Source organism: Homo sapiens, chromosome 5 (genome assembly GCF_000001405.40).
Source record: "Homo sapiens chromosome 5, GRCh38.p14 Primary Assembly".
NCBI classification, from domain to species: Eukaryota; Metazoa; Chordata; class Mammalia; order Primates; family Hominidae; genus Homo; species Homo sapiens.
Window position 1 is genome coordinate 151,405,997 of NC_000005.10, and position 26,540 is coordinate 151,432,536.

At 43.9% G+C, this 26,540-nt stretch overlaps 1 protein-coding gene and 1 long non-coding RNA gene across 7 annotated transcripts in view, besides 4 other annotated features; one reads left to right on the forward strand and one right to left on the reverse strand.

The window, feature by feature from the left end:
* SLC36A1 (solute carrier family 36 member 1) overlaps positions 1-26,540 on the forward strand; it is a 211,490-nt gene that overhangs the window by 61,401 nt on the left and 123,549 nt on the right. Inside the window, exon 2 of the mRNA XM_011537591.2 lies at positions 5,285-5,368. The gene's annotated coding sequence lies outside the window, so the exon portion shown is untranslated. The remainder of the gene's footprint in view (positions 1-5,284; positions 5,369-26,540) is intronic.
* LOC105378234 (uncharacterized) overlaps positions 1-26,540 on the reverse strand; it is an 84,540-nt gene that overhangs the window by 53,598 nt on the left and 4,402 nt on the right. For 4 of the 6 annotated variants that reach the window (XR_944423.4, XR_007059004.1, XR_944426.4 and 1 more), the window contains 4 exons: positions 19,312-19,401; positions 19,056-19,140; positions 8,606-8,772; positions 6,536-6,753 (listed from right to left, as the gene is read on the reverse strand). This is a non-coding gene — a long non-coding RNA (uncharacterized LOC105378234). The remainder of the gene's footprint in view (positions 1-6,535; positions 6,754-8,605; positions 8,773-19,055; positions 19,141-19,311; positions 19,402-26,540) is intronic. The other 2 variants (XR_007059006.1, XR_007059005.1) reach the window with 2 other exon arrangements.
* Positions 18,843-19,343: an enhancer, noted in NCBI's record as "NANOG-H3K4me1 hESC enhancer chr5:150804400-150804900 (GRCh37/hg19 assembly coordinates)". NCBI's record gives its function as "activates a minimal SCP1, AML or CMV promoter by ChIP-STARR-seq in naive H9 embryonic stem cells {active_cell/tissue: H9 hESC(naive)}" and the evidence as "EXISTENCE:reporter gene assay evidence [ECO:0000049][PMID:30033119]".
* Positions 18,843-19,844: a biological region, named in NCBI's record as "NANOG-H3K4me1 hESC enhancers GRCh37_chr5:150804400-150804900 and GRCh37_chr5:150804901-150805401".
* Positions 19,255-19,424: an enhancer, noted in NCBI's record as "experimental_82492 CRE fragment used in MPRA reporter constructs". NCBI's record gives its function as "activates a minimal promoter by MPRAs in K562 erythroleukemia cells, with activity observed for both the introgressed and non-introgressed 5:150804897 variant alleles {active_cell/tissue: K562}" and the evidence as "EXISTENCE:reporter gene assay evidence [ECO:0000049][PMID:34662402]".
* Positions 19,344-19,844: an enhancer, noted in NCBI's record as "NANOG-H3K4me1 hESC enhancer chr5:150804901-150805401 (GRCh37/hg19 assembly coordinates)". NCBI's record gives its function as "activates a minimal SCP1, AML or CMV promoter by ChIP-STARR-seq in naive H9 embryonic stem cells {active_cell/tissue: H9 hESC(naive)}" and the evidence as "EXISTENCE:reporter gene assay evidence [ECO:0000049][PMID:30033119]".

Here is a 26,540-nt window from a genome sequence, read left to right on the forward strand (position 1 = left end):
CTTTTGTGTTTCAGTGCCTTTGCAGCAACACTTTAGGAAAGCGGGGGATGAGAGGGTAAAAGATGACCCCTTCAACAAGTCTCTTCCTGGGCATTAGGAGTGCCCCCTCCAATCACTGGTGCTGCACATGCATTTCCTTAGCCCCAGGAAGGGCCCTGGCAGTTTGCACAGCTTCCTCTCTTGGGGTGGCTTGAGCTGAAGGTTAGGTCACCAGGAAACCTGCAGATCCCTAGAAACCTGCAGGTCCTCTGAGCTTGGCAGAGTCAGAGCAGGCTTCGAAGTATGTCTGTGGATTCAGAGAGATTTTAAAACAGCTGTCCAAGATCCAATAGCTTGAAAGGATGAAAAAAAACAGTATTCAAATTCACGCCTGTCAGGCTCCAGAGCCAGTGCTCTTTATCTACCCCATGCACCTTCTTCACTCTGCATAGGGGATGGGGGCACTCATTCTATCTCAAACCTTACCACTTCAGTACCTTCAAAGGCAAAGACAGTTGTCCCAAAGAACAGGGACTAGGTCTTCCAGTTTGCCACTAGGGGCAGACTGCTGGCGTCTGGGATTTCTTGAAAGAGAAACACAGGAAAAATGGTAATGGCTACCTTAAAACTGGACTTGAGAAAACCCAGTGGAAATAAAGCAAAAAGTGAAACAGCTAGCTAGCAGAGCTCCACATGGGCTGAACTTTCTGCTGACCTTCATCCTTTGGTGGGTGGACTTTGTTTCTTTAAGAAGACAGCAGCAGCAGGAAACCCTCAGGCTCAGAGGGGAATTGAGAGTGAGAGAGGCTCAGTTCTAGTGTGTCCGGAATTGGTTCCTTCTGGTGGGTTCTTGGTCTTGCTGACTTCAAGAATGAAGCCACGGGCCCTCGCGGTGAGTGTTACAGTTCTTAAAGATGGTGTGTCCGGAGTTTGTTCCTTCAGATGTTCAGATGTGTCCGGAGTTTCTTCCTTCTGGTGGGTTCGTGGTCTTGCTGACTTCAGGAGTGAAGCTGCAGACCTTTGCAGTGAGTGTTACAGCTCTTAAAGGTGGCGCGTCCAGAGTTGTTTGTTCCTCCCAGTGGGTTCATGGTCTTGCTGACTTCAGGAGTGAAGCTGCAGACCTTTGCAGCGAATGTTACAGCTCATACAGGTAGTATGGCCCCAAAGAGTGAGCAGCAGCAAGATTTATTGTGAAGAGCAAAAGAACAAAGCTTCCACAGCTTGGAAGGGGACCCGAATGGGTTGCTGCTGCTGGCTCTAGTGGCCAGCTTTTATTCCCTTATTTGGCCCTACCCACGTCCTGCTGATTGGTCCATTTTTACAGAGTGCTGATTGGTGCGTTTACAAACCTTTAGCTAAACACAGAGCGCTGATTGGTGCGTTTTTACAGAGTGCTGATTGGTGCGTTTACAAACCTTTAGCTAGACACAGAGCACTGATTGGTACATTTACAATCCTTTAGCTAGACAGAAAAGTTCTCCAAGTCCCCACCTGATTAGCTAGACACAGAGCACTGATTGGTGCATATTTACAGAGTGCTGATTGGTGTGCTTACAAACCTTTAGCTAGACACAGAGCGCTGATTGGTACATTTACAATCTTTTAGCTAGACAGAAAAGTTCTCCAAGTCCCCACCCGACCCAGAAGCCCAGCCGGCTTCACCTCTCATTAGGGCCACACAAGCATTTAAACCTCAGTTTCTCCGTGTATATAATACAGTGGGGTGTTGGGTCTGGGGATGGAAGTTGGCCTTCTGCCCTCTGCCATTCTCTGGAGCCAATTTTTGGGGTCAATGAGAGAATGAGAATGCTGGATGACCAGAGATGCTTAGGAAAGGAGAAGGAAGGTCCTTAGAAATCCTCTGGTCTGATGCTTCATTTTACACCTGGGAACCTGAAGCCCAGGAAGGCTAACAGTGATTATCATAATAAAGTTCCTCCTCTAATAAGATAATATAAGCAGTGAACATTTTGTAGGTTCTTGTGATAGGCCAGGCACTGTGCTAGTGCTTTAAATGCGCTGTTTACTTCTCGCCACAACCCTACAAAGCAGGGATTATTATCTTCATTTTAAGGATAAGGAAATCGAGGCTCACGGTCACTCTAGCTTTAGGTTCTCCTTCCATAAAGTAAGAAAGTTGAACTAAAACAGCATATCTTGAGTCATTTATTGTATTTTTCTCATCAAGTCAGTGTTTTTTTTGTTTTTGTTTGCTGCTGTTGTTGTTTTTTGAGACGGAGTCTCACTCTGTCACCCAGGCTGGAGTGCAGTGGTGCGATCTTGACTCACTGCAACTTCTGCCTCCCGGGTTCAAGTGATTCTCCTGCCTCAGCCTCCCAAGTAGCTGGGACTACAGGCACACACCACCACGCCTGGCTAATTTTTGTATTTTTAATAGTGACAGGGTTTCACCATATTAGCCAGGCTGGTCTTGAACTCCTGACCTTGTGATCTGCCCGCCTCGGCCTCCTAAAGTGCTGGGATTACAGGCGTGAACCACCGTGCCTGGCCAAGTCAGTGTTTTAACATAAGATTAATTTTACAAAGAAGCATTATGATGCAATTCTCTCATTTCCATTAATAGAAGAGAATATACATACATACTACAAATACGTAATTAAGAAAACAAACATTGTATGTCCCCTCCCCAAATTTATTACATACACCACCAGAAGCATGGAAATGCACCTTGAAAAACCACTGAATTAAATGACTTGTAAATCCAGCCCTATCTCTGCTTCTATAAGAATGCAGAATTCTGGAGTCTGACGAGGACTGACAGCTGGAGAACAATGCTTTTAAAGAGATATCAGCCATGAAAATAAACACCAATAAAAATCCACTTGCAAACAGGATGACCTCCAGGATATTTATAGCAACTGGTTTCCAGGAAGGATTTGTTTGTTTGTTTGTTTTTTCTGAGAACAGTTAGAAACTTTTCCAACCAGGGGAGTAGTAAGTGAATGACTTCCTGGAGTGAAACGTGGTGAGGGTGATTTTTTTTTTCTTTTCTTTTCTTTCCTCTTTTTTTTTTTTTCTTTGAGACAATGTCTCACTGTGTTGCTCAGGCTGGAGTGCAGTGGTGTGATCATGGCTCATTGCAGTGTCAACCTCCCAGGCTCAGGGTGATCCTCCCACCTCAGCCTCTGAAGTAGCTGGGACTACAGGTGCATGCCACTACGCCTAGACAATTTTTTGTGTTTTGGTAGAGACAGGGTTTTGCCACGTTTTCCACTCTGGTCTTGAACTCCTGGGCTCAAATGATCCACCAGCCTCAGCCTCCCAAGTGCTAGGATTACAGGCATTCATGAACCACTGCATCTGGTTGGGGTGGGGGGGATAGATTTTCATTGTTGCTCAGGCAGGAGGGCCCTCAGGAGGCAAAGACTATCTGAGGAGTTTGCATCAAGCCTCCTTTTACTTACATTGCTTTTGACTATCAAAAAGAAGAAACAGTGGCAACTATTTGATCTCATTTCTTGATCTCCAAAACACTGATAACCAAGTGTTCAACAGGCGTTTTGGTCTCCTCACATGATTGAGGGCATGGAAACCACAACATACATGTACAAAGTGCTTTGGAGCTTTTGACTCAAAATGTGGGCTATGAACCAGCAGCATCAGCATTACCTAGAGGCTTGTCAGGAATGCAGAATCTCAGGCCCCACCCTGGACCTCCTGACTCAGAATCTGCATTGTAATAAGGCCCCCAGGAAATTTGTGTGCACATCAGACTTTGAGTAGTTCAATTGCGCTGGTCCAAAGGCCACACTCTGCAAAGCAGGGATTCACAGCATCTCTGTACTTGGCTGATCATCCAAATCAGCTGGGGAAATGTATTTCTACAGGAAGTTTCCTGGGTTCTGAATTCCACAGATTCAGATCCAAGACAACCAAAGCAGAGCCTGGGAATCTGTTATTAAGCAAAATCTCAAGGTGATTCTGATGCTCATCCAGGTTTTGGGGAAATAACAACTTGCATTTGTTTAGGGAGCACTCACTATATACCAGGCAGAATCCTAAGCCCTTTACATGAATAAATCCATTTGATTTTAACAATAGGTTTCGGAGATAGGTATTAGCATTGTCTCCTTTTCCACTTGGGAAAATTGAGGCACAGAGATAACTTGCCAAAGTTTGAAATGGTGGAGCTGTAATCAGAATTCTGGTAACTTGGCTCCAGAGTTACCAGGCTCCTGTCTGAGGGCAGGAACTTTATCTGATTTGTTCACGGCTGTATTACCAGCACAGTGGCCAGCTCAAGGATATTCAATATGTATTTGTTCAATGAATTCATTCATTCATTGAAAGAGAGTGGTGAAATTCTGAACAGGGACAGAGAGATGACCTAGGCATCTTTTTTTTTTCCAAATATGGATTTTGTTTTATGATGGTGAAAATATAAACAAACAAATATAAAATATAAAGAGAGAAAAATTATCTTTGGAGACTCTTTACAGAGTTTTTTGTATTGTTTATGATATCAATAACATAAAATAAAATGGAAATAACCAAAATGTCTGTCCTTAAGGACTTGGTGAATAAATTATATATGGCGAGTCCATGATATATCATTAAGCATGGAAAAAAGCAAATAGCATATCAATATCATAGTCTGAAAAATTATTATATATGCATGTTTGAATATTTATGAAAAAAACTGAAAAACTATTCACATAACTTTCGCCTTTTATTTTTTATTCCCTCATTTTACTGATGGTCACATAACTTTTAATGTGTGTTTTTGCAGGAGGAGAAATTTATGGAGACCTTTTATATTTTATAGTCTCATGCTATTGTTTGCATGAGATGCAACTGTATCAAGAGTTTCTCAACCTCAGCACTCTTGACATTCAGGGCCAGATAATTCTTGGTTGGGAGGGACTGTCCTGTGCATTGCAGGCTATTTTACAGCATCTCTTGCTTCTATCCGCTGTGTGACAACGAAAAATATCTCCAGCAATTGCCAAATGTCCACTGGAGAGCAAAGTCATTTCCAATTAAGAACCACTGGTCTAAAGTCTATACTTGTACCCATTCTGCTGACTCTAAGAACTACTGTGTTCTCACTTGTAGTTTTACACCAAAACAGCCTATCAAGAGAGAAGTTACTAGCCTTATTTTAAAAGTGTGACTTATCCAGGGTCACAGAGCTTATAAGCAGCAAAGCTAGGACTCATATTCACATTTCAAACCTATCCGTTGATTCTCATCCATGGTGGGTGTCAGGAGGAAGATTTCTGCCTCATAAATGAGCAAAGCAGAAGGAGAAATATTTACTCCCGATTTATCTTATTTCTTCAAGGCTTTGTCATGGATACCTACGGGATGATCTGCTCAGCAACCATCACCCACATGCCTTAAGTGACCTGAACTCCTTCTGTATCAGGTATAGTTTCTATTGGTGTTGCCCCCAACTATAGGAGATTGATCCAGGGGTGGCACCTGACCTGAGCTGAACCAATGAATTCCTTTCCTGAAATTTTGAGACCTGAGAGAACATCAGATTAGTCTCCTTCTGGTGGCTAAATTGTAAAATGTAAAACTCAGAAGCTGTGGACAGAGCCAGCTCACATTAAGAGAGAGGTATAAAGCCAATACACAGAGCCAAACTGAGCAAAGGCTTCGGGAGCCCTAATGGGGGTCCACCCCTGAGTTGGTGTGACCTGCAAAGACTGACTGCCTCAGGATCCTTTTAGGGCTTGACTGTTCCTTGACACCTCCCAGAATCTTTCTAATAGTCTCTTTTTCCCCCAGTTACTTCAACTTGAGTTGAACAAGGGTCCTTAGTACAGTTTTTCCCACGGATAAGAAAATACCTGCTTGTTGAAACCAAACCAAACCAAACCAAACCTCCTTCATAGCATTAATATGCTCTAAAAATCTGATGATCTGGGCAAATCACTGACAACCAAGTTCCTACTATTTTAAATAGGAGAAATTGTGACATGAACATCCACCCCAAATACTCAACCATTTCTTAAGACGTAACTAAAACAAGTAAAATGCCTGTATGTAAGCAACAAACTATGACGTTAGTCTATGAATGCTTAAAACTTGATACTAAACACAAATGAATATGGTTGTCACAAGAAATTGCTTTTGTCTGCAAACATCCTCCACATCCTCTTTGTGGATGCTTGTTCTCTTTCCAAACTGTCTGTGTGGGTCCTAACATTTAACTAAATCTGTAAGGTAAGACAATGTAAGGAATGTCTCAAGATATTTCCCATGGGTTGTTTTGTTAAATATGTTATATTGCATTTGGGGACAGAAATGTAAATATTTCCTATATAAACATGGGGAAAAATTATAATGAGAGAGATATATTCATTCCCCGGAGTTTGGGCATTATGCAGAAATTTTCTGTGTGATAATTCCATATATATGTCAAACAATAGAGACACATATAGGAAAATATACAACAACCTGAACTTTCCCTCTCTAGAGGAAATCATTGACAATCTGGAGGATGTGTTTCCAGGCTTTGTTCTACATACACACACATACACACGCACACCCTTCTCAAGGTGACTGCATGGGGTGGGGAATCTACCTGGAGGAGATGCTGGAGGATGAGGACGAGGCTTCCCAGCGTGAAGACTTTGTTCAGCATCTAGAAAGTAGGCAGCGCACAGAGGCTCTGGAGGAACACCAGCAGCACCAGCAAGGGAAATGTGAACACTGTGTAGATGTGACATCCACGGTGGGTGTGGGAATCGCCACGCCTCTGCCCTGGCAGTCAGCTATGATCTCATCAGTTGTCTTGATCACCTATGGATAAAAAAGGATGATGTGAACCTTAGCTGCGACCTGCCTGTTCCCATCCCTATGTCCTCCAGCCATTCCTGTCAATCTTCAGCCCTTAAAAGCACCAGCATCTGGAGATTTTCTCACTGCCAAAAACCTTGTCTCCCAAAATTCCCTTCTTAGTGACTGCTCAGCCTTCAGAGTCAATGTTCCCTCCAAACTCCATCAGACCCCTACTCTTATAGCACCAGTCCATTGCCTCAATAGGGCTTATCATGCTTTGTCATTTTACACTAGCATGATTATTGCTAAATGTTTATCTTTCCCACTAGAATGTAAGTGTCTGAGGGCAGGAACTTTATCTGATTTGTTCACGGCTGTATTACCAGCACAGTGGCCAGCTCAAGGATAGATATTCAATATGTATTTGTTCAATGAATTAATTCATTCATTGAAAGAGAGTGGTGAAATTCTGAACAGGGACAGAGAGATGACCTAGGCATCTTTTTTTTTTTTCCAAATATGGATTTTGTTTTATGATGGTGAAAATATAAAGAAGCAAATATAAAATATAAAGAGTGAAAAATTGTCTTTGGAGACTCTTTACAGAGTTTTTTTGTATTGTTTATGATATCAATAACATAAAATAAAATGGAAATAACCAAAATGTCTGTCCTTAAGGACTTGGTGAATACATTATATATAGTGAGTCCATGATATTAAGCATGGAAAAAAACAAATAGCATATCAATATCATAGTCTGAAAAATTATTATATATGCATGTTTGAATATTTATGAAAAAACTGAAAAACTATTCACATAACTTTCGCCTTTTTATTTTTTATTCCCTCATTTTACTGATGGTCACATAACTTTTAATGTGTGTTTTTGCAGGAGGAGAAATTTATGGAGACCTTTTATATTTTATAGTCTCATGCTATTGTTTCCTTTTGTTTAAGAAAGAGCTGTGTTGCTTTTGTGTACTGAGGGGAAGAAACCAACCATGAAGATTTTGTATCACTCAAGAGACATCATAAAAAATAAACAAGAGTTTAAAATGAATATAAAAGATGCACCTGTAGATTCATTTCGGAAAGGTATATTATATATTGGCAGTAGATATTATATTTATTTATACACGTATATATATGTATATATATACATATGCCAACATAATATATTTACAAACATAAGATCTAAGTGAACACAGTGCTTTGTGGCCTGCCTTAAGTGGCTATACCACTTGAAATTCTTCAAGCACTAGAATGTACAGACCTATTTGCTCAAAATACACATATAACAAATACTTGCCAAGTACTTACTTTGTTATAAGAGCTCCAAAGCAACTTGTCTACCCTCTATGAGCTCACAGGCTAGCTATAAAGAAGACATAACTGTATTCAAGGAAAACTATAAATATATTTAAACAGTAGGATTAAATTAAGAAGAGAAAAATAAGGTAGTGATTCCGCTGTGTGACTCAGGGAACGATACCCAGAGGAGGTGAGCATTTAGGATGGGTATGATTTGGATACGTGGAGATGAGAGACAAGAAGGGAGCATGTTACCTATAGGAAAAACAGCATAAATAAGGGCTCAGTGTTGGGAAAATGCACAATCTATTTGAGAATGGTAGATAGCCCAGACGTGTTGAAGCATATAGAGAGAAGTAAAAGATCAGGCTGGAGGGCAGGTAGGGACCAGAGCACCTAGGGTCTTGTGAGCCAGATTAAGGTATTTGGAATATATCTTGTCCAATAAGGAGATATTGACAATTTTCAAGTTGAAAAAATATCCTGTTTCATCTGTCGTTGCTCAGAGAGAAGGACCTGGAGTGTCCTAAGCAAAGGCTGAATTTCACAGGCTTTCACAAACCTGGTTGATTTGGATGGAGCTGCTTAAAACTCAAGCTGGGCTATCTCGTGCCATCTTGTATTTCTGCTTGAGTTCTCTGCCCTACTTGTTTGAGGTTATCTGCCAGAAGCATCAGGAACACACAGCAGAAGCCCAGCTGGTCCACAGTCAGGAAGAACACAATGTCCCTGGGCATTGGGAGAAGATTGTTTTAAAAAGACGGAAGGGAAAGTGAATATGTGGCCATCTGATGTGCTGGTGTTTTCAGCTCCAGCCTTACCTCACTTATCTGATGCCCTCACTTCTCACAGCCACAGATAGAAGCCTGGCTTGTAGCCTCAGACCTCCTCCAGCTCCAGAAGGGGCAGGAATACCCTGGCAGGCTCATTACATTTATGTCCAGGTATGTTTCCAGGCAGAGCCTTTGCGTCAAGGTATGGAGTCAAGAGGGCCTGCCTTGATCTCCCTTCCTATCATCCACCACCCAACCTCATCTTCTTGGAGAGGGAGGGACTCTGTTCTCAATTCTGACTGATTTGACTTTGACACTGAATACTCTGCTTGGTCTTGGCTGTCCCTTCCCCCATGCAAAAAATCAACTTCCACTCTTGCCCCTCAATCTATGTCCCATACAGCATCTAGACTGATCTTTTGAAGACTATTGATTATATTATGTCCTTCTTATGCTTGGAAGCCTTCTGGGGCTTCCCTCTACTCTGGGAACAGCATTCTGATGTATTAACTTGCCTACAAGTCACTGAGTGGTTCGACTCCTGCTGACCTTTCCATTCTTCTCTTCTACTTCTCCTCCTTGCTCTGCCAGTTCCTGCAGTCCTCTGAGCTCTTTCCACCTCACAGTCTTTTGCTGATACCTTTCCCTAGGCAGTTCTTCCTACCCCTCTTCAAAGGGCTGGCTCTCACTTACCCTTCAACTCGTAGCTTAAACTTCACCTCCTCAGAGAAGTTTTCCCCACCTCTTTGCAGCTCTTATCCTAATTCATAATTATACATTTGTATCTTTTCTTATTTATTTTCTGTCCCTACTACAAGGTCATAAAACTCCATTGAGGTAGAGATTGTGTCTATTTTGTTTGTCTCTATTTTCCTAGCACACAGCATGATGCTCAGCCTATAGTGGCTACTCGATTGATGTTTGTCCAGTCACTAGATGAATGAATTAAGGAGTGAATGAGGCCCCGTTTCTCTATGAATAGACTGATCTTCTAGAAAGTACACAGAGTCAGGCTGGGCACAGTGGCTCATGTCTGTAATCCCAGCACTTTGGGAGGCTGAGGTGGGTGGATCACCTGAGGTCAGGAGTTCGAGACCAGCCTGGCTAACATGGTGAAACCCTGTCTCTACTAAAAATACAAAAAATTAGCCAGGTGTGGTGGTGGGTGCCTGTAATCCCAGCTACTGGGGAGCTGACGTAGGAGAATCACTTGAGCCCAGGAGGCGGAGGTTGCAGTGAGCTGAGATCGTGCCACTGCACTCCAGCCTGGCAGCCTGGGTGACAGAGTGAAATTCCATCTCAAAAAATAACAACAAAAAAGAAAGTACACAGAGTCTATCTGACTTTAAGTCCCCACATGCTGCCTGGCATCCCCTAATGCCCAGGTTCAGAAACCATCTCAGGCATCCCAGGAGCCTCCTTATCCTGTCCTCTTTGTGTTTACATGCACCTCTTAGCTTCTCTGCCCTGCTTACTGCAGCAACTAGAGCTGGATGATCTCCACTGCCCAAGTCCTGGGGCCTAGCTTGCCTTGGATCTGGACTCTTTCTGCTTTGATCACAAGTAACAGAGCCAATAGAAGTGAGGAAATTGTTCCAAGACCACTCCGAAGGGCAGTTACAACACAATGTGGTGCCAAAATGTATTTCTTATACATGATTGCTGGTAAATGCTTTATCAAAACTGGACCTTTGCTAAATTGACAATGATTTATTTTGCACTATGAGAGCAGTATCAAAGAAATAACCTCATTATTCAATCTGTTGCCACCTAATAACTAAAGACTAAAAAAAAAGAAGAGCTGTTGAAGAAAACAAAACAGCTCTGTTGTCAGGGTGTCAGGGTGTCAGGGTGTCCCCTGGCTGCGGAGATAGGTGACTACAAACTTTAGCTACCAGAATCTGTCCATCCACACTCAGGATAATCCAGGATGATCAGGTGATATGGTTAGATTTTGTGTCTCCACCCAAATCTCATCTTGAATTGTAAACCCCAAAATCTCCATAATCCCCACATGTCAAAGGAGAGACCAGGTGCAGGTAATTGAATCACTGGGGACATTTCCCCCATGCTGTTCTCACAATATTGAGTGAGTTCTCATGAGATCCTATGGTTTTATAAGGGGCTCTTCCCCCCTTCGCTTAGCACTTCTCCTGCCTACCACCTTGTGGAGAAGGTGCCTTGCTTCCTCTTTGCCTTCTGCCATGATTGTGTGCTTCCTGAGGCCTCCCCAACCATGCTGAACTGTGAGTCAATTAAACCTCTTTCCTTTATTAATTACCCAGTCTTGGGCAGTTCTTCATAGCAGTGTGAAAACGAACTAATACAGTAAATTGGTACCGAGGTAGTGGAGCACTGCTATAAAGATACTTGAAAATGTGGAAATTATTTTGGAACTGGATAATGGGCAGAAGTTGGAACAGTTTGGAGGGCTCAGAAGAAGACAGGAAGATGTAGGAAAGTTTGGAACTTCCTAGAGGCTTGTTGAATTGCTTTGACCAAAATACTGACAGTGATGTGGACGATGAAGTCCAGGCTGAGGTGGTCTCAGATGGTGATGAGAAACTTGTTGGGAATTGGGACACAGGGCACTATGTCCTGAGACTGCACAAAGCACCAAGGCCTTGGGCCCTACCCACGAAACCATTTTTTCCTCCTAGGCCTAGGTTACTCTTGCTATGTTTTAGCAAAGAGACTGGCAGCATTTTGCCCCCAACCTAGAGATCTGTGGAACTTTAAACTTGAGAGACATGATTTAGGGTATCTGGTGGAAGAAATTTCTAACAGCAAAGCACTCAAGAGGTAACTAGAGTGCTCTTGAAAGCATTCAGTTTTATGTATTCATAAAGAGATGGTTTGGAATTGAAACTTATATTTAAAAGGGAAGCAGAGCATAAAAGTTCAGAAAATTTGCAACATGACAATGCAATAGAAAAGAATAACCAGTTTTGGTGGGGGGAATTCAAGCTGGCTGCAGAAATTTGCATAAGCAATAAGGAGCCAAATGTTAATCACCAAATCAATGGGGAAAACATCTCCAGGGCATGTCAGATGTGTTCATGGCAGCCCCTCTCATCACAGGCCTGGAGGCCTAGGAGGGTAAAATGGTTTTGTGGGCCAGGCCTAGGGCCTTACTGCTTTGTGAAGTCTCAAGACTTGGTGGCCTGCACCCCAGCTATGGCTAAAAGGTGCCAACATAGAGCTCAGGTCATTGCTTAAGAGGGTGCAAGCCCCAAGCATGGACAGCTTAAATGTGGTGTTGGGCCTACAGGTGCACAGAAGTCAAGAACTGAGGTTTGGGAACCTCTGCTTAGATTTCAGAGGATGTATGGAAATGCCTGGGTGTCCAGACAGAAGTTTGCTGCAGAGGAGGGGCCCTCATGGAGAACCTCTGCTAGGGCAGTGAGGAAGGGAAATGTGGGGTTGCAGCTGCCACACAGTTCCCACTGGGACACTGTCTAATGGAGCTGTGAGAAGAGGGCCACCATTCTCCAGATCCCAGAATGGTAGATTAATTGACAACTTGCACTGTGCACCTGGAAAAGACACAGACACTCAACACCAGCCCATGAAAAGCAGCCAGGAGGGGGACTGTACCCTGTGAAGCCACAAGAGTGGAGCTGCCCAAGACCATAGGAACCTACCACTTGCATCCGTGTGACCTGGATGTGAGAAATGGAGTCAAAGGCGATCATTTCAGAGCTTTAAGGTTTGACTGCCCAGATGGATTTTGGGCTTGCATGGAGCCTGTAGCCCCTTTGTTTGGCCAATTTCTCCCATTTGGAATCAGTGTATTTACCCAATGTCTGTACCACCATTGTGTCTAGGAAGTAACTAACTTGTTTTTGATTTTACAGGCTCTCATAGGTGGAAAAGACTTGCTTTGTCTTAGATGAGACTTTGGACTTAGGCTTTTGGGTTAATGATGGAATAAATTAAGACTTTGGGAGACTCTAGGGAGGGCATGATTGGTTTTGAAATGTGAAAGGGACATGAAATTTGGGAAGGGCCAGGGTGGAATGATATGGTTAGGCTTTGTGTCCCAACCCAGATCTCATCCTGAGTTGTAAACCCTGTAGTCCCCATAATCACCGCATGTCAAGGGAGAGACCCGGTAGAGGTAATTGAATAATGGGGGCCATTTCCCCCATGCTGTTCTTGTGATAATGAGTGGGTTCTCATGAGATCTGATGGTTTTATAAGGGGCTATTTACCCCTTAACTTGGCACTTCTCCTGCCTGCCTCTACATGAAGAAAGTGCCTGGTTTCTTCTTCGCCTTCTGCTGTGATTGTATGTTTCCTGAGGCTTCCCAAACCATGCTGAACTGTGAGTCAATTAAATCTCTTTCCTTTATAAATTATCCAGTCTTGGGCAGTTTTTTATAGCAGTGTGAAAATGGACTAATACACCAGGAGTTGACCATATTTCGATAACACCTTTGCTCAGATCACAATTTTCAACCCTATCATGATTTGCTGTGTACCCCTGGGAAGGTTGCTTTCTGTCTTTAGGGCCTGATTTCCCCATCTGTACTTTTAGTAGGTTGGATTCTAGCAGCTCTGGCTGTGTCCCTGTAGGAATCCATCTGGACCCATGTACACATCTTGAGTCTTGATTATTGTCCCATGGCTGTCTTGATTTTAGGACTAAAGAAAATTCTCAAGCTAAGCACAGGAAATAGCAATTTCTGATATATTAATTTGCCCCCAGAAGCTGCCTTTGTTGTCAAGAATGTAAAGTAGTTTCTTTAGGGCAGTGGTTCTCAAACTTTTGTGTGAATTAGAATCATCTGGATGTCTTGTTAAAATACAGATTTCTGGGTCCCATCCTCAGAGTTTCTGATCAGTATGTCTGGGTGGGGCTGAAGTATTTGCATTTCTAATAAGTTCCCAGGTGGTGCTGATGCAGCTGGACTGGGGATCAACTTTGAGAACAACTCTTTAGGATATCTGAAAGTATTAAAATTAATTATAACTGTATTTCCAGAGGGACAGATATCAACATTGGACTACAGGATTTGTGGGACCTCAACGGGATCTGCCATCCTTCCCCATCCCAGGCAAGGAGAGGACAAGATACCTCCCCCAGTGGGCGTGGTCAGGGAGCCAGGCATGGGGGCTGGCCTCTAGCACTGCATTGCAGTATCTCCATAGTCCATCAAGGGCTTATTGAGTGTGGGGGAGAGCAGGATACTTTGTTAGGTTCAGAAGTATAACATAGGGAGAGAGAAAGGTAGATCTTTTCCTAGTACAAGGCTGAATGGAAAGATGTATAGTAGGAAATTTGGCAGAAGTGGTAGGTGCCAATACCCACTGGTGCCCACTGAGCCTCCCTCATTTCCCTGAAGGGCTCCAAAAATCATGTGCCAACTCGTTGAACAAGTATTGAATGGCTACTGAGTGTTGGAGTTATACAAGGCCCTAGGGTCCATGTCAGTGAATAAAATAGGCAGGGCTCCATCCTTCTGGAGCTGTCAGTCAAATGAATTAATGAGTCCCATGCATTCACTGAATGCCTTGGGTCACTTTGGCCCATGGCGGGCAGGGCACTTTTCCGAAGCCACACAGTGAGCTGAGGACAGAGTCAGGACCTGACCCTAGGCCTCCTGACTCCCATAACAGTGATTTTCCTATGACACGCTGCTGCTTCCCAGAGACCATGCACACTGCTGGTCTTCCTGCTAATGATGGGGATGATCGTGCATGCCGCCCCTTGGAGTAATGATTTTTACCAGGAGCGCAGGAGCTCATAATCCTAAGAGTGCATCAGAATTTCAGGAAATGAGAGGGAATGTGCTTATTTTCCCAACTTCATTTAAAAATATAGCAGTAATAGTACCTATTATAAAAAGTCAAACAGTACAGAAGTCTATAAAGTAAGAAAGGAATGTCCCTATACGTATCCTCCCCTGCCTCATCCCAATGTAGTTCTCCTCACCACTTCTTTTAATAGTTTGGAGTGATTAAGTCCAGACCTTTTAAAATATATTTATAAATAATAAATGTAAAAGGGATTATTTTTTAAGAAATCTTGTAGTTTTTCCTTTCTTTCTTTCTCTTTCTTTCTTTTTTTTTTTTGACAGAGTCTCGCTCTGTTGCCCAGGCTGGAGTGCAGTGGCACGATCTCTGTGCATTGCAAGCTCCTTCTCCCAGGTTCACGCCATTCTCCTGCCTCAGCCTCCCAAGTAGCTGGGACTACAGGCGCCCGCCACCACACTCAGCTAATTTTTTTTTGTATTTTTAGTAGAGACGGGGTTTCACCGTGTTAGCCAGGATGGTCTCGATCTCCTGACCTCGTGATCCACCCGCCTCGGCCTCCCAAAGTGCTGGGATTATAGGCGTGAGCCACCACGCCCTTTCTCTCCTTCCTTCCTTCCTTCCTTCCTTCCTTCCTTCCTTCCTTCCTCCCTTTCTTTCCTTCTTTTTCTTTCTCTTTCTTCTTTTTTTTTTTCAAGGTCTGGCTCTGTTGCCCAGGCTGGAGTGTGGTGGCATGATCTTGGCTCACTGCAACCTCCACCTCCTGAGCTCAAGAAATCCCCTCATCTCAGCCTCCCGAGTAGCTGGAAATACAGGCATGAGCCACCACACTCAGCTAGTTCTTGTATTTTTTTGTAGAGATGGGGTTTCAGCATGGTGCCCAGGTTGGACTCCACTCCTGTGCTCAAGTGATCCACCCACCTCAGCCTCCCAAAGTGCTGGGAATACAGACATGAGCCACCACGCCAGGCAAATCTTGTAGAGTTTTTTCTTTTTCTTTTTCTTTCTTTCTTTTTTTTTTTTTGTTGTTGTTGTTTTAGATAGAGTCTCACTCTGTCACCCAGGCTCTGGAGTGCAGTGGTGTGACCTTGGCTCACTGCAACCTCTGCCTCCTGGGTTCAAGGGATTCTCTTGCCTCAGCTTCCTGAGTAGCTGGGACTACAGCCATGTGCCACCATGCCCAGCTAATTTTTTGTATTTTTAGTAGAGACAGGGTTTCACCATGTTAGCCAGGATGGTCTCAATCTCTTAACCTTGTGATCCACCCGCCTCAGCCTCCCAAAGTGCTGGGATTACAGGTGTGAGCCACCGCGCCCGGCTGTCTTGTAGAGTTTTTAAAAGCATGTTTCATGTTATTTTTTAAACTGTGTAGAAAGTGGAAAAAAGGACACCACTTTTGTGATGGAAACTGCAGGAAAAAAACAGAGCCAGCTTGTGGCTGGTGGGGTGTGATCAAGAGGCCTTATTCTGGCAGGTGCATGAACACAGATAGCAGGAGAGTGGGAAAAACATGCTGGGGAGTAAAGCAAAGAAAGTTGTGTTTGCAAAGGGACTTAGAGGCTCTCACCTGTGGTGAAAGTGCAGGCACATTTCACCAGGACACCCACACGGTGCATGGCCAGGAGGCATGTTACCAACAGGCTGACAAGAACCAGCTGGAGATGGGATGTGGGCAGAAGGAAGAGAGTTGAAGAGGTATGTTAGAATGAAAAACATAGGACAAAAATAGATTTGTTAAGAGAATAAGAAGACAAGCGATAAGCTGGGAAAAAGTATTTGTAAAAGACGTGGGATGAAGGGCTGTTATTCCTCTTCAAACTCAAAGATAAGAAAAGAAACAATCAGATTAAAAAATGGACAAAAGGGCCTGGAACAGTGGCTCATGCCTGCAATCCCAGCACTTTGGGAAGTGGAGGCAGGAACCTCTGAAACGGCAGAGTATTCAGTCTTCCTTCAAGACCAGCCTGGGCAACATAGAAAGACCCTGCCTCTTAAAAATATTTAAAAAATTAGCTGGGCATGGTGGTGCCTGCCTGTAGTCCCAGCTACTTGGGAGGCTGAGGTGGGAGGATTGCTTGAGTCCAGGAGTTTGAGGCTGCAATGAGTTATGATCACGCCACTACACTTGAGTCTGGGTGACAGAAAGAGACTCCATCTAAAAATAATAATAATAATAGCCTGGCCAACATAGTGAAGCCCCGTCTCTACTAAAAATACAAAAAGTAGCTGGGTAGTAGTGGCACGTGTCTGTAATCCCAGCTACTTGGAAGGCTGAGGCAGGAGAATCGCTTGAACAAGGGAGGCAGAGGTTGCAGTGAGCTGAGATGGCATCACTGCACTCCATTCTGGGCAACAGAGTGAGACCCTGTGCCCCACTCCACTCCCCACACACAACACAAAAATAGACAAAAGACCTGAACAGACACCTCACCAAAGAAGATGGCAAATAAGCATATGAAAAGATGCTCCACATCATATGTCACCAGAGAACTGCAAATCCATACTACAATGAGCTACCACTACAAACCTATTAGAACAATCAAAATCCAAAATACTGATAATACCAAATGCTGGTGAGAATGTAAAGCAGCAGGAACTTTCATTTGTTGCTGGTTCGGGAATGCAAAATGGTACAGCCACTTTGGAAGATAGTTTGGCAGTTTCTTACAAAATGAAATATACTCTTACCGTATGATCTAGCAATTGCATTCCTTGGTATTTACCCAAATGAGTTGAAAATTTACACCCACAAAAAACCCTGCATGTGAATGTTAATAGCAGCTTTATTCATAATTGCCAAAACTTGGAAGCAAACAAAATGTCCTTCGGTAAGTGAATGGATAAATAAACAATGACACACAGGAACAATGGAGTATTATTTAGCACTAAGAAGAAATGAGCTATCAAGTCATAAAAAGACATGGAGGAGCCTTAAATGCATATTGCTAAGTGAAAGAAACCAATCTGAAAAGGCTGCATATTGCTTATTTCAACTATATGACACTCCGGAAAAGTCAAAGCTATGGAGACAGTAAACAAAATCAGTGGTGGCCAGGGGTTGTGGGAGAGAGAGATGAACAGATGAAGCACAGAGGATTTTTAGGGCAGTGAAAGTACTTTGTATGATACTATAATGGTGGACACATGCCATTGTATATTTGTCCAAAAAACATAGAATGTGCAACACCAAAAGTGAACCCTAATGTAAACTAAGGACTTTGGGTGATAATGCTGTGTCAAGGTAGCTTCCCTGATACAACAAATGTACTACTGTGGTAGTGGATGTTGATAATGGGAGAGGCAGTGAGTGTGTGTAGGGAGAGGGTATATGGGAAATCTCTGTACCTTCCTCTTAATTTTGCTGTGAACCTAAAACTACTAGAAAAAATACGATCTATTAAAAAACAAACAAACAAAACAAAAACCTTGAATATTTAAGAAATGTACACGGGAAGACTAAGAACTCTGCCATTTGATAATATTGGTACAAATGTACAAGTCGCCTCACATGAATGGGCAATAAGACACCATGGCAGGCGGGGCTGCCTATGCCACCCTCCCTCTCAACCACTCTGCAGAAACAGCCTCTCATTGCCTGGGTGTGGAGAGTGGAGAGTCTGGCAATAAAAGTACATTATGTTGGACAGGACATGGGTTTGAACATGGAGACTCTCCCAGTCACCTCTAATATCACAGAGAACAATGATGGAACCCAAAGTGTGCAGCAACTTCAGAGAAGGCGAAGGGATGGGGGTTTCAGTGATGCTGGAGGAAGAAAGGCAGAGGACAGGTTTTAGGGACAAAACTGATCTCCAGAGCTAAGAAGGCAGACAAGCGAAGCTAAGAAGGTAGGAAGGGAAGACAAGATGGACTTCCAAGTCAAAAGGGAAGAAAAGGGTTATCACTCCACATGACAGTCTAGAGACATGTATAACCTTGTCTGCTTTTTTTGTTTTGTCACAGACTCATTTTGCATGAAATAAATTTATCTCCCAGAAAAAGAGCAGATATTAATCACTAGACTTTGCCTACAATTTCATGAGTCTTATGGAATTCCTAAGACCCAGGTATGATCCTCTGGCCTAGGGAATAAATGAGATGAGAATAATCATTAATAAATAATAATAATAATAGAAACCATTTGATTGTCGAGTATTCTAAAGTTTACAAAATAATCTTACAAAATTGTTTAATTTAATCTTTCTAATAACTAAGCTGTCAATTCCCATTTTACAAGTGAGGAAACTGAGGCTCAAAAGAGCTAGAGAGGGAGTGACTGTAAATAAACAGAAAGTTTTTAGGGGCAATGCAATTTGTTCTAAAATTAGATTGTGGTGATGGTTGCACAACTTTGTAAATTTACTGAAAATTCATTGAGTTGTACACTAAAAATGAATAAATTATATGGTGTATAAAGGATACCTCAACAAAGCTGTTAAAAAATAAACAACAAAAAAAGGGCTAAGGCTCACATAAGCTCACCTGGCTTACAAGCAGCAGAGCTGGGGTGAACTCAGACTTTCTGATCCCAAGTTGTGCAGCAGAGTCAACCTGTTAATGGGGACTCCTGAGAGAGAAATGGTCACAAGGACACTTGATGTCAAACTGTGTCCCATGTCACTCAGGTGAGGTTTGCTTTCAGGCAAATGTACGATCACCAAAGACATCCCCACCCCACATTCCACGCCCCGGCGCCCCGCCCCGCGCCGCTGTCAGGACCACTCCCAGCCCCTCTTACCAAGATGCCCACATTCTTCATGGTTGGGGCAGGCTCAGGAGCTGCAAGTCAATGTTGCCTTTTACTATGTAGATCAGGGTTTGCAACCACCTAGGGAGGAAGAGAAGGAAGGCAAGAGAGAGGCTGGCCACTGCTGACCTTGGCCCCAGAGCCAACTGCCTGGGGAAGAGCTGGCAGACAGGCTTCTTGCAAATACCCAGTGTAGAGAGTCACTGTGTGAATGTGGGGGGACCAATGGATGGATGGATGGGTAGATGGATGGACAGGTTGGTGGATGAGTGGATGGATGGATGGATGGATGGATGATGAGTGAATAAATTAATTAGGTAAATGACTGAAACAAAAATAAAACCCATCGTGTCCCAAGTCTGTATTTACAAAAAATGTTATCTAGAAACGAAATTCACAGCCTGACTTTTCTCTTCAGAACACAGGCCGTATTTGGACTATAAGGCCTAGTTATTTTTAAATAGATACATAGTTTACCAGAATAAGTGATATTATACATGGTAAAAATATAAATATTTTAAAAGTTTATAGAATAAAAAGTAAATCTTCCCTCCTGTGACCCCTGAAGTCCCAATTCCCCTTTCTGGAAGCAATCACTGTTAATAGTTTCTCATGTATCCTTCCAGAGATAGTCCCTCTCTCTCTCCCTCTATCTATCTATCTATCTATCTATCTATCTATCTATCTATACCTATGTCCATACACACATACTTTTCTTTGCAGTATTAAACTCACTTCTACCCTTATTTTTTTAAGGAGGGATGTTGTGCATATCAGTGCACAATAGATGTGTTCATTCTTCATTTTAACAACTGCATGCTATTCTGTTGGTTGTGTCTGAAGGGGGCCAGCCCCTCCACACCTGTGGGTGTTTCTCATCAGGTGGGACGAGAGACTGAGAAAAGAAATAAGACACAGAGACAAAGTATAGAGAAAGAACAGTGGGCCCAGGGGACCGGTGCTCAGCATATGGAGGACCTGCGCCAGCACTGGTCTCTGAGTTCCCTCAGTATTTATTGATCACTATCTCTCCTATCTCGGTGAGGGGGATGTAGCAGGACTATAGGATAATGGTGGGGAGAGGGTCAACAGGAAAACGTGAGCAAAGGTCTCTGTGTCATAAATAAGTTTAAGGAAAGGTGCTGTGCCTTGATGTGCACGTAGGCCAGGTTTATGTTTGACTTTACACAAACATCTCAGTGCAGTAAAGAGCAGTATTGCCACCAGCATGTCTCACCTCCAGCCATAAGGCAGTTTTCTCCTATCTCAGTAAATAGAACATATGATCGGGTGTTAAACACCGAGACATTCCATTCCCAGGGATGAGCAGGAGACAGATGCCTTCCTCTTAACTGCAAAGAGGCCTTCCTCTTTCACTAATCCTCCTCAGCACAGACCCTTTATGGGTGTCGGGCTGGGGGATGGTCAGGTCTTTCCCTTCCCACGAGGCCATATCTCAGGCTGTCTCAGTGGGGAGAAACCTTGGACCATACCCAGGCTTTCTTGGGCAGAGGTCCCTGCGGCCTTCCGCAGCGCATTTTGTCCCTGGGTACTCGAGACTGGAGAATGGCGATGACTTTTACCAAGCATACTGCCTGCAAACACATTTTTAACAAAGCACATCCTGCACAGCCCTAAATCCATTAAACCTTGAGTCAACACAGCACATGGTTCTGCGAGCACAGGGTTGGGGCTACAGGTACAGATGAACAGCATCTCAAGGCAGAAGAATTTTTCTTAGTACATGAACAAAATGGAGTTTTTTATGTCTTCTTTTTTCTACATAGACACAGTAACAGTCTGATCTCTCTTTCTTTACCCCACAGTATCATGGCTTATTTAGCCAGCCCCCTATATGTGGTTGCTTCAGTCTTTTGCCACTCTCAGCCAAGCTGAAATGAATAATTGTGGATATATTATACATATTACACATACACATATACACATTATATATACATGAGGGCTTGTCTGTTGGATACATTCTCAGAAGTGGAGATAGTGAGTGGGTCAAGGGTAAGTGCTTTTAGAGTTTTGAGAGACATCGGCAAATTACCCCCAGGGAGCTGTTTCAATTGCTTCTCCACCAGCAGAGGGTGACAGGGACTATTTGCACCTGTTCTGGCAACCACCATGTGTCACACTTTCTGTCCTGAGTCGCAGCTCCCTGTGGGGTTCATTTGCCTTTTGGGGCTTAGTTCCTTATTTTTCACTTTGTTAAGAGTTTTGTCAGACTGAAACCTGTTCAGAGGTGAGTTAAGTTGTCAGGGGCCAGGAAACTATGTCTTAGGAGTAGAGCCTGAAAGGACTTCTTGGAAACTAGGATGGCCATACATACTCACACCCTGCCCCTCTCGGAAGTGCTGTCACTGGGGCGAGGGGGAGACAGTGCCATGCGTTCCAGTGGGGACCCCTGTGCAGCAACTTTCACCCTAATCACAGCACTCAGATCTCTCCAACATAAGGCGAGCTCCCTGCCACTCAGGGTATTCAGACAGAGATGGAGGGATGTGGGATAGGGTTGAAGGACAGTTACATTATTTTGGTGTGCGTTCCTCTACTGCAGAGGCTGGAGAGTGAACAGTTACATCTCCCAGACTCCTGGAAGCTACAGTTCTAGATAGAAAATAGGAAGGTCAAAATGGGTGTCCAGAGGCCACTGCAGCAGCAGCACCAGCAGATCCCTGGGACACAGCTACAGCCTCGTGCTCCTGACCCCGGTCCCCCAGGGACTCAGGCTTCAGCCTCCCGATTGTGGTGGAGGTGGTGGCTCTCCCTGGCGGCAACTCCAGAGACATGTTTCTGGGAAGTCCAGCCTGGAATTCTCTCCTCCAATCTTTCTAATGGCTATGTAAGCCTTTAATTACCATTCCTAAATATATTTCTGATATTTTTCTGCCTCAAGTAGTATGTTTTCTACTCTAAATCCTGACTGATAGGAGGCAGGGGTGTACAGGATGAGATGACCTCCATGGTGTTGTCTCACTTGCAATTTCTGTGACCTCATGATATTGTCCCTCAGCAGAAAAAAAGCAGTCTTCAAAAACCAGGTGTTTTTACTGAGGGAGGCAATCCTGGGAGGAGCAAGGGGTGGCCTAGCTCCCAACTCATTCCCCTGGCTGCATCTCCAGGCCCTAGCTGGCCATGCAGAAGTGAGCTCTAGGTGTCACAGTGGCTCTCTCAGATGCATTGTTCTTCTTTGTTCTCTTGGCACCGTTGCCAACTATGGATCTCATTGCATCCAAGGTTCCAGAACAGGCAGCCTGGCCTTCACTTGGGGAGCATCCTGGAGACAAGTGATAAAGAGCATTTCCTTACTCTGCTGACTTTTTTTTTTTAGACCGAGTCTCACTCTGTTGCCCAGACTGGAGTGCAGTGGCATGATCTCGGCTCACTGCAACCTCTGTCTCCTGGGTTTGAGCAATTCTCCTGCCTCAACCTCCTGAGTAGCTGGGATGACAGGCATGCGCCATCACACCCAGCTAATTTTTGTATTTTTAGTAGAGACGGGGTTTCACCATGTTGGCCAGGCTGGTCTCGAACTCCTGACTTCAGGTGATCCGCCCACCTTGGCCTCCCAAAGTCCTGGGATTATAGGCGTGAGCCACTGCACCTGGCCGTCCGTCTGCTGCATTTTGAGCTCTTGAGGAGAAAGCTCCTTGTGAAATGGGTAAAGCTGTCACATCTCTGGAATAGGCAGAAAATCCACAGAATGCCTGAACCAGTTTGAGATACTGCTCTGCACAGGATTGTAGGGAGAAATCCCAGGTATAAGTGCTAGTTGCATGATGCTTATCCCTATGGCCTCATTTCACTCTCTCAACAACTCTAAGCAGTGGATATTCTTCTCAGCATTTTACCTATGATTTTATTTTTTTATTTTTATTTTTTAAAATTTTTTTTATTATTATACTTTAAGTTTTAGGGTACATGTGCATGTTTGTTACATATGTATACATGTGCCATGTTGGTGTGCTGCACCCATTAAATTGTCATTTAGCATTAGGTATATCTCCTAATGCTATCCCTCCCCCCTCCCCCCACCCCACAACAGTCCCTGGAGTGTGATGTTCCCCTTCCTGTATCCATGTGTTCTCATTGTTCAATTCCCACCTATGAGTGAGAACATAACAGTGTTTGCTTTTTTGTCCTTGCGATAGTTTGCTGAGAATGATGGTTTCCAGTTTCATCCATGTCCCTACAAAGGACATGAATTCATCATTTTTTATGGCTGCATAGTATTCCATGGTGTATATGTGCCACATTTTCTTAATCCAGTCTATCATTGTTACCTATGATTTTAAAAGGTTTGGGCTCAGGAATGGGGACAGCCTGCTCAAGGTCACACAACTAATATAGGAATAGCAAAACTGGGACTGGAATCTGAGTGTTTCTCTGTGTCTTAGCCACATGTTATCCTGCATCCTTAGAAGCCATTTAGCTCAACATTCTCTTCCTCTCATAAAATGCTTGACTTTTTCCTACTACAGCCAATGCTTGAACACACGTAGAAACAGACCTCAAGCAGGCTGGCCTCTTAGACCTTCAAGGACAGATGACCATTTTATCTTCTTAGAAGACCTTTGGCAATAACATAGACTTCTTCAGAAACCCATTCCAAGATTCAACGATACTCATTCTCAAAAAAGATCTTCCCTCCTGTGTAATTTAAGAGATTGATATAGAAGATCCCTTTTTTGTTCATGCATTCATTTTGCAAACCTTTACTGAGCTCCTTGTGCTCAGGCTCTGTATTAGGAGGATATAGAGGTAAATAAGGCCTGGTCATTGCCTTTGGGTTTCTCACCATCCGGGCAGCTAGTCTGAGTCAGGCTAGAATTAGCTAAACTTTTTTTTTTTTTTTTTTCTGAGACGGAGTCTTGCTCTGTTACCCAGGCTGGAGTGCAGGGGCATGATCTTGACTCAGTGCAACCTCCATCTCCTGGGTTCAAACAATTCTCCTGCCTCAGCCTCCCGAGTAGCTGGGATTACAGGTGTGCGCCACCACACCTGGCTAATTTTTTTTTTTTTTTGAGACTGAGCCTCACTCAGTCACCCAGGCTGCAGTAGCGTGACCTCGGCTGACTGCAACCTCCGCCTCCTGGGTTCAAGCAATTCTCTGCCTCAGCCTCCTGAGTAGCTGGGATTACAGGTGCCCGCCACCATGCCTGGCTAAATTTTTTTGTATTTTTAGTAGAGATGGGGTTTCACCATGTTGGTCAGGCTGGTCTTGAACTCCTGACCTCATGATCCACCTGCCTTGGCCTCCCAAAGTGCTGGGATTACAGGCATGAGCCACCGTGCCTGTCCGTAGAATTAGCTAACCCTTTACTGAACAGTTACTGTGTGCCAGGTACTGTGTTGTTTGTTGCATGGATTATTTCAGTTGATGCTTATTGTCTGAAATCAATACCATTGTTACTATTCTGCTGGATAAAGCTTGATCTATCTTCTTCAGTGGAGGTAGATAATGCTTTTTGGGTATCCTCACTGGCAACATCATTTCTCCAAGGACTAGATCAGTCTTGGCTCCTCTAACACAAAGCCTTGCCCATTTTCACCATCTGGAAATAACACCTTCCTTTTCTGAATCCTTGTAGAACACTGAGTTCACTCCCTGGAATTTCACTTCTGTGTGTACATATCTTCCTCCCTAGGCTGTGAGATCCTTAGCTGCAGGGACCCAAATGGTATGTTGTGTTCATTGCTTTAGTTCCACAGTTCCCAGGTGTTGAATGTTGAATGAATGCGCCTCTAAGGAGTTATGCTTAGGATTCAAAGCATCACTTCATGGAGCATTATTTTTGCTACTAACACAACTTCTCTACACCTCTTTGCTTGTCTGTCAAGAACTACAGGAGAGCACAGATTTAGCTCTTTGGATTACTAGAAAGAAGAAAAATTCCACAAAAGTTTTCAGGTGCAAGGTCTCAAGCCCAGAAGCTTCTGTGGAGCAAAGGACACTTACGAGGTCCTGCTGGCCCTGTCCTGGCAGCAGGAGCTCCGGGTGGAGGAGTTGCTGAACCCTCCCTCGGGGCTGGCAGGGTATTCTTTGGGCTGCATCATCCAGGGACTGGCAGCTGGTGGAGGCACCCACAGGCCCAGGCAGGTGGATACCTCACTGTTTAGCTCCACGTATTGGGCATGTGAGGGGTGTGGAGCAGCCATGGTGATATGGTTTGGTTGTGCCCCCACCCAAATCTCATCTTGAATTATAACTCCCACAATTCCCATGTGTTGTAGGAGGGACCCGGTGATAGGTAATTGAATCATGGGGGTGGGTCTTTCCTGTGCTATTCACGTGATAGTGAATAAGTCTCATGAGATTGGATAGTTTTAAAAAAGGGAGTCTCCCTGCACAAACCTTCTTCTCTGCCACCATGTGAAACTGCCTTTTACCTTCCGCCATGACTGTGGGGCCTTCCCAGCCACGTGGAACTGTAAGTCCATTAAACCCTTTTTCCTGTATAAATTACCCAGTCTCGAGTGTGTCTTTATGAGCAGCGTGAAAATGAACTAATACACATGGCTTTGGCAGAGGCTGTGAGCAAGAATAGCTTTGGCATGCAGGAGCTGCAAAATATGATCTCAGCTCTTGGGCCTTAATAAGTTCAGGAGCTTAAATACAGCTTTACCCTCCTTGCCCAGAGTGGCACAGACTCGGCAGCTTAGGAAGAATGAATGGCCAAAAGCATGAATGGATGGATAAATGGGCTTCTCCACCGCACACACAGAGGCCCTCACAGTTGCTCTGACAATCTCTTCTTTTCTTTCTTTTTTTCTGCCAAATGACTGAATATCACAGGCCAGGCACTTTGATGGGTGCCGGGAATGAAACAGTTCCAGGTACTGCAGTCCCTGGAGGCGATGAACTTGGAAATTATAAATATTAATCATAGTTTCTCATAAATAAGTTTTTAAAAATTCAACAGTGATAAAGCACTTTGAAGGAAAATGAAAAGAGGCATGAGTGTATAACAAAAGCAGTTGCTCTTGCAAAGGCGGTCAGCAAAGCTTTCCCCGAGAACAAGGAAAATCCCTTGCATTGCACTGTCTTCCCCACCTTCTTGCTCCCACTCAAAGGTGGCTCCCCGTGAGGTCACTGCTGTTTTTGCAGGCCTCTGAGAGAAGTGTCTTTTTTCCTCACCCCCCTCATATTCACATCACAGGGTCAGGAGAGGGTAGGCATCCTTTCTACCCCTTGCTTTCAGATCCCCAAAACT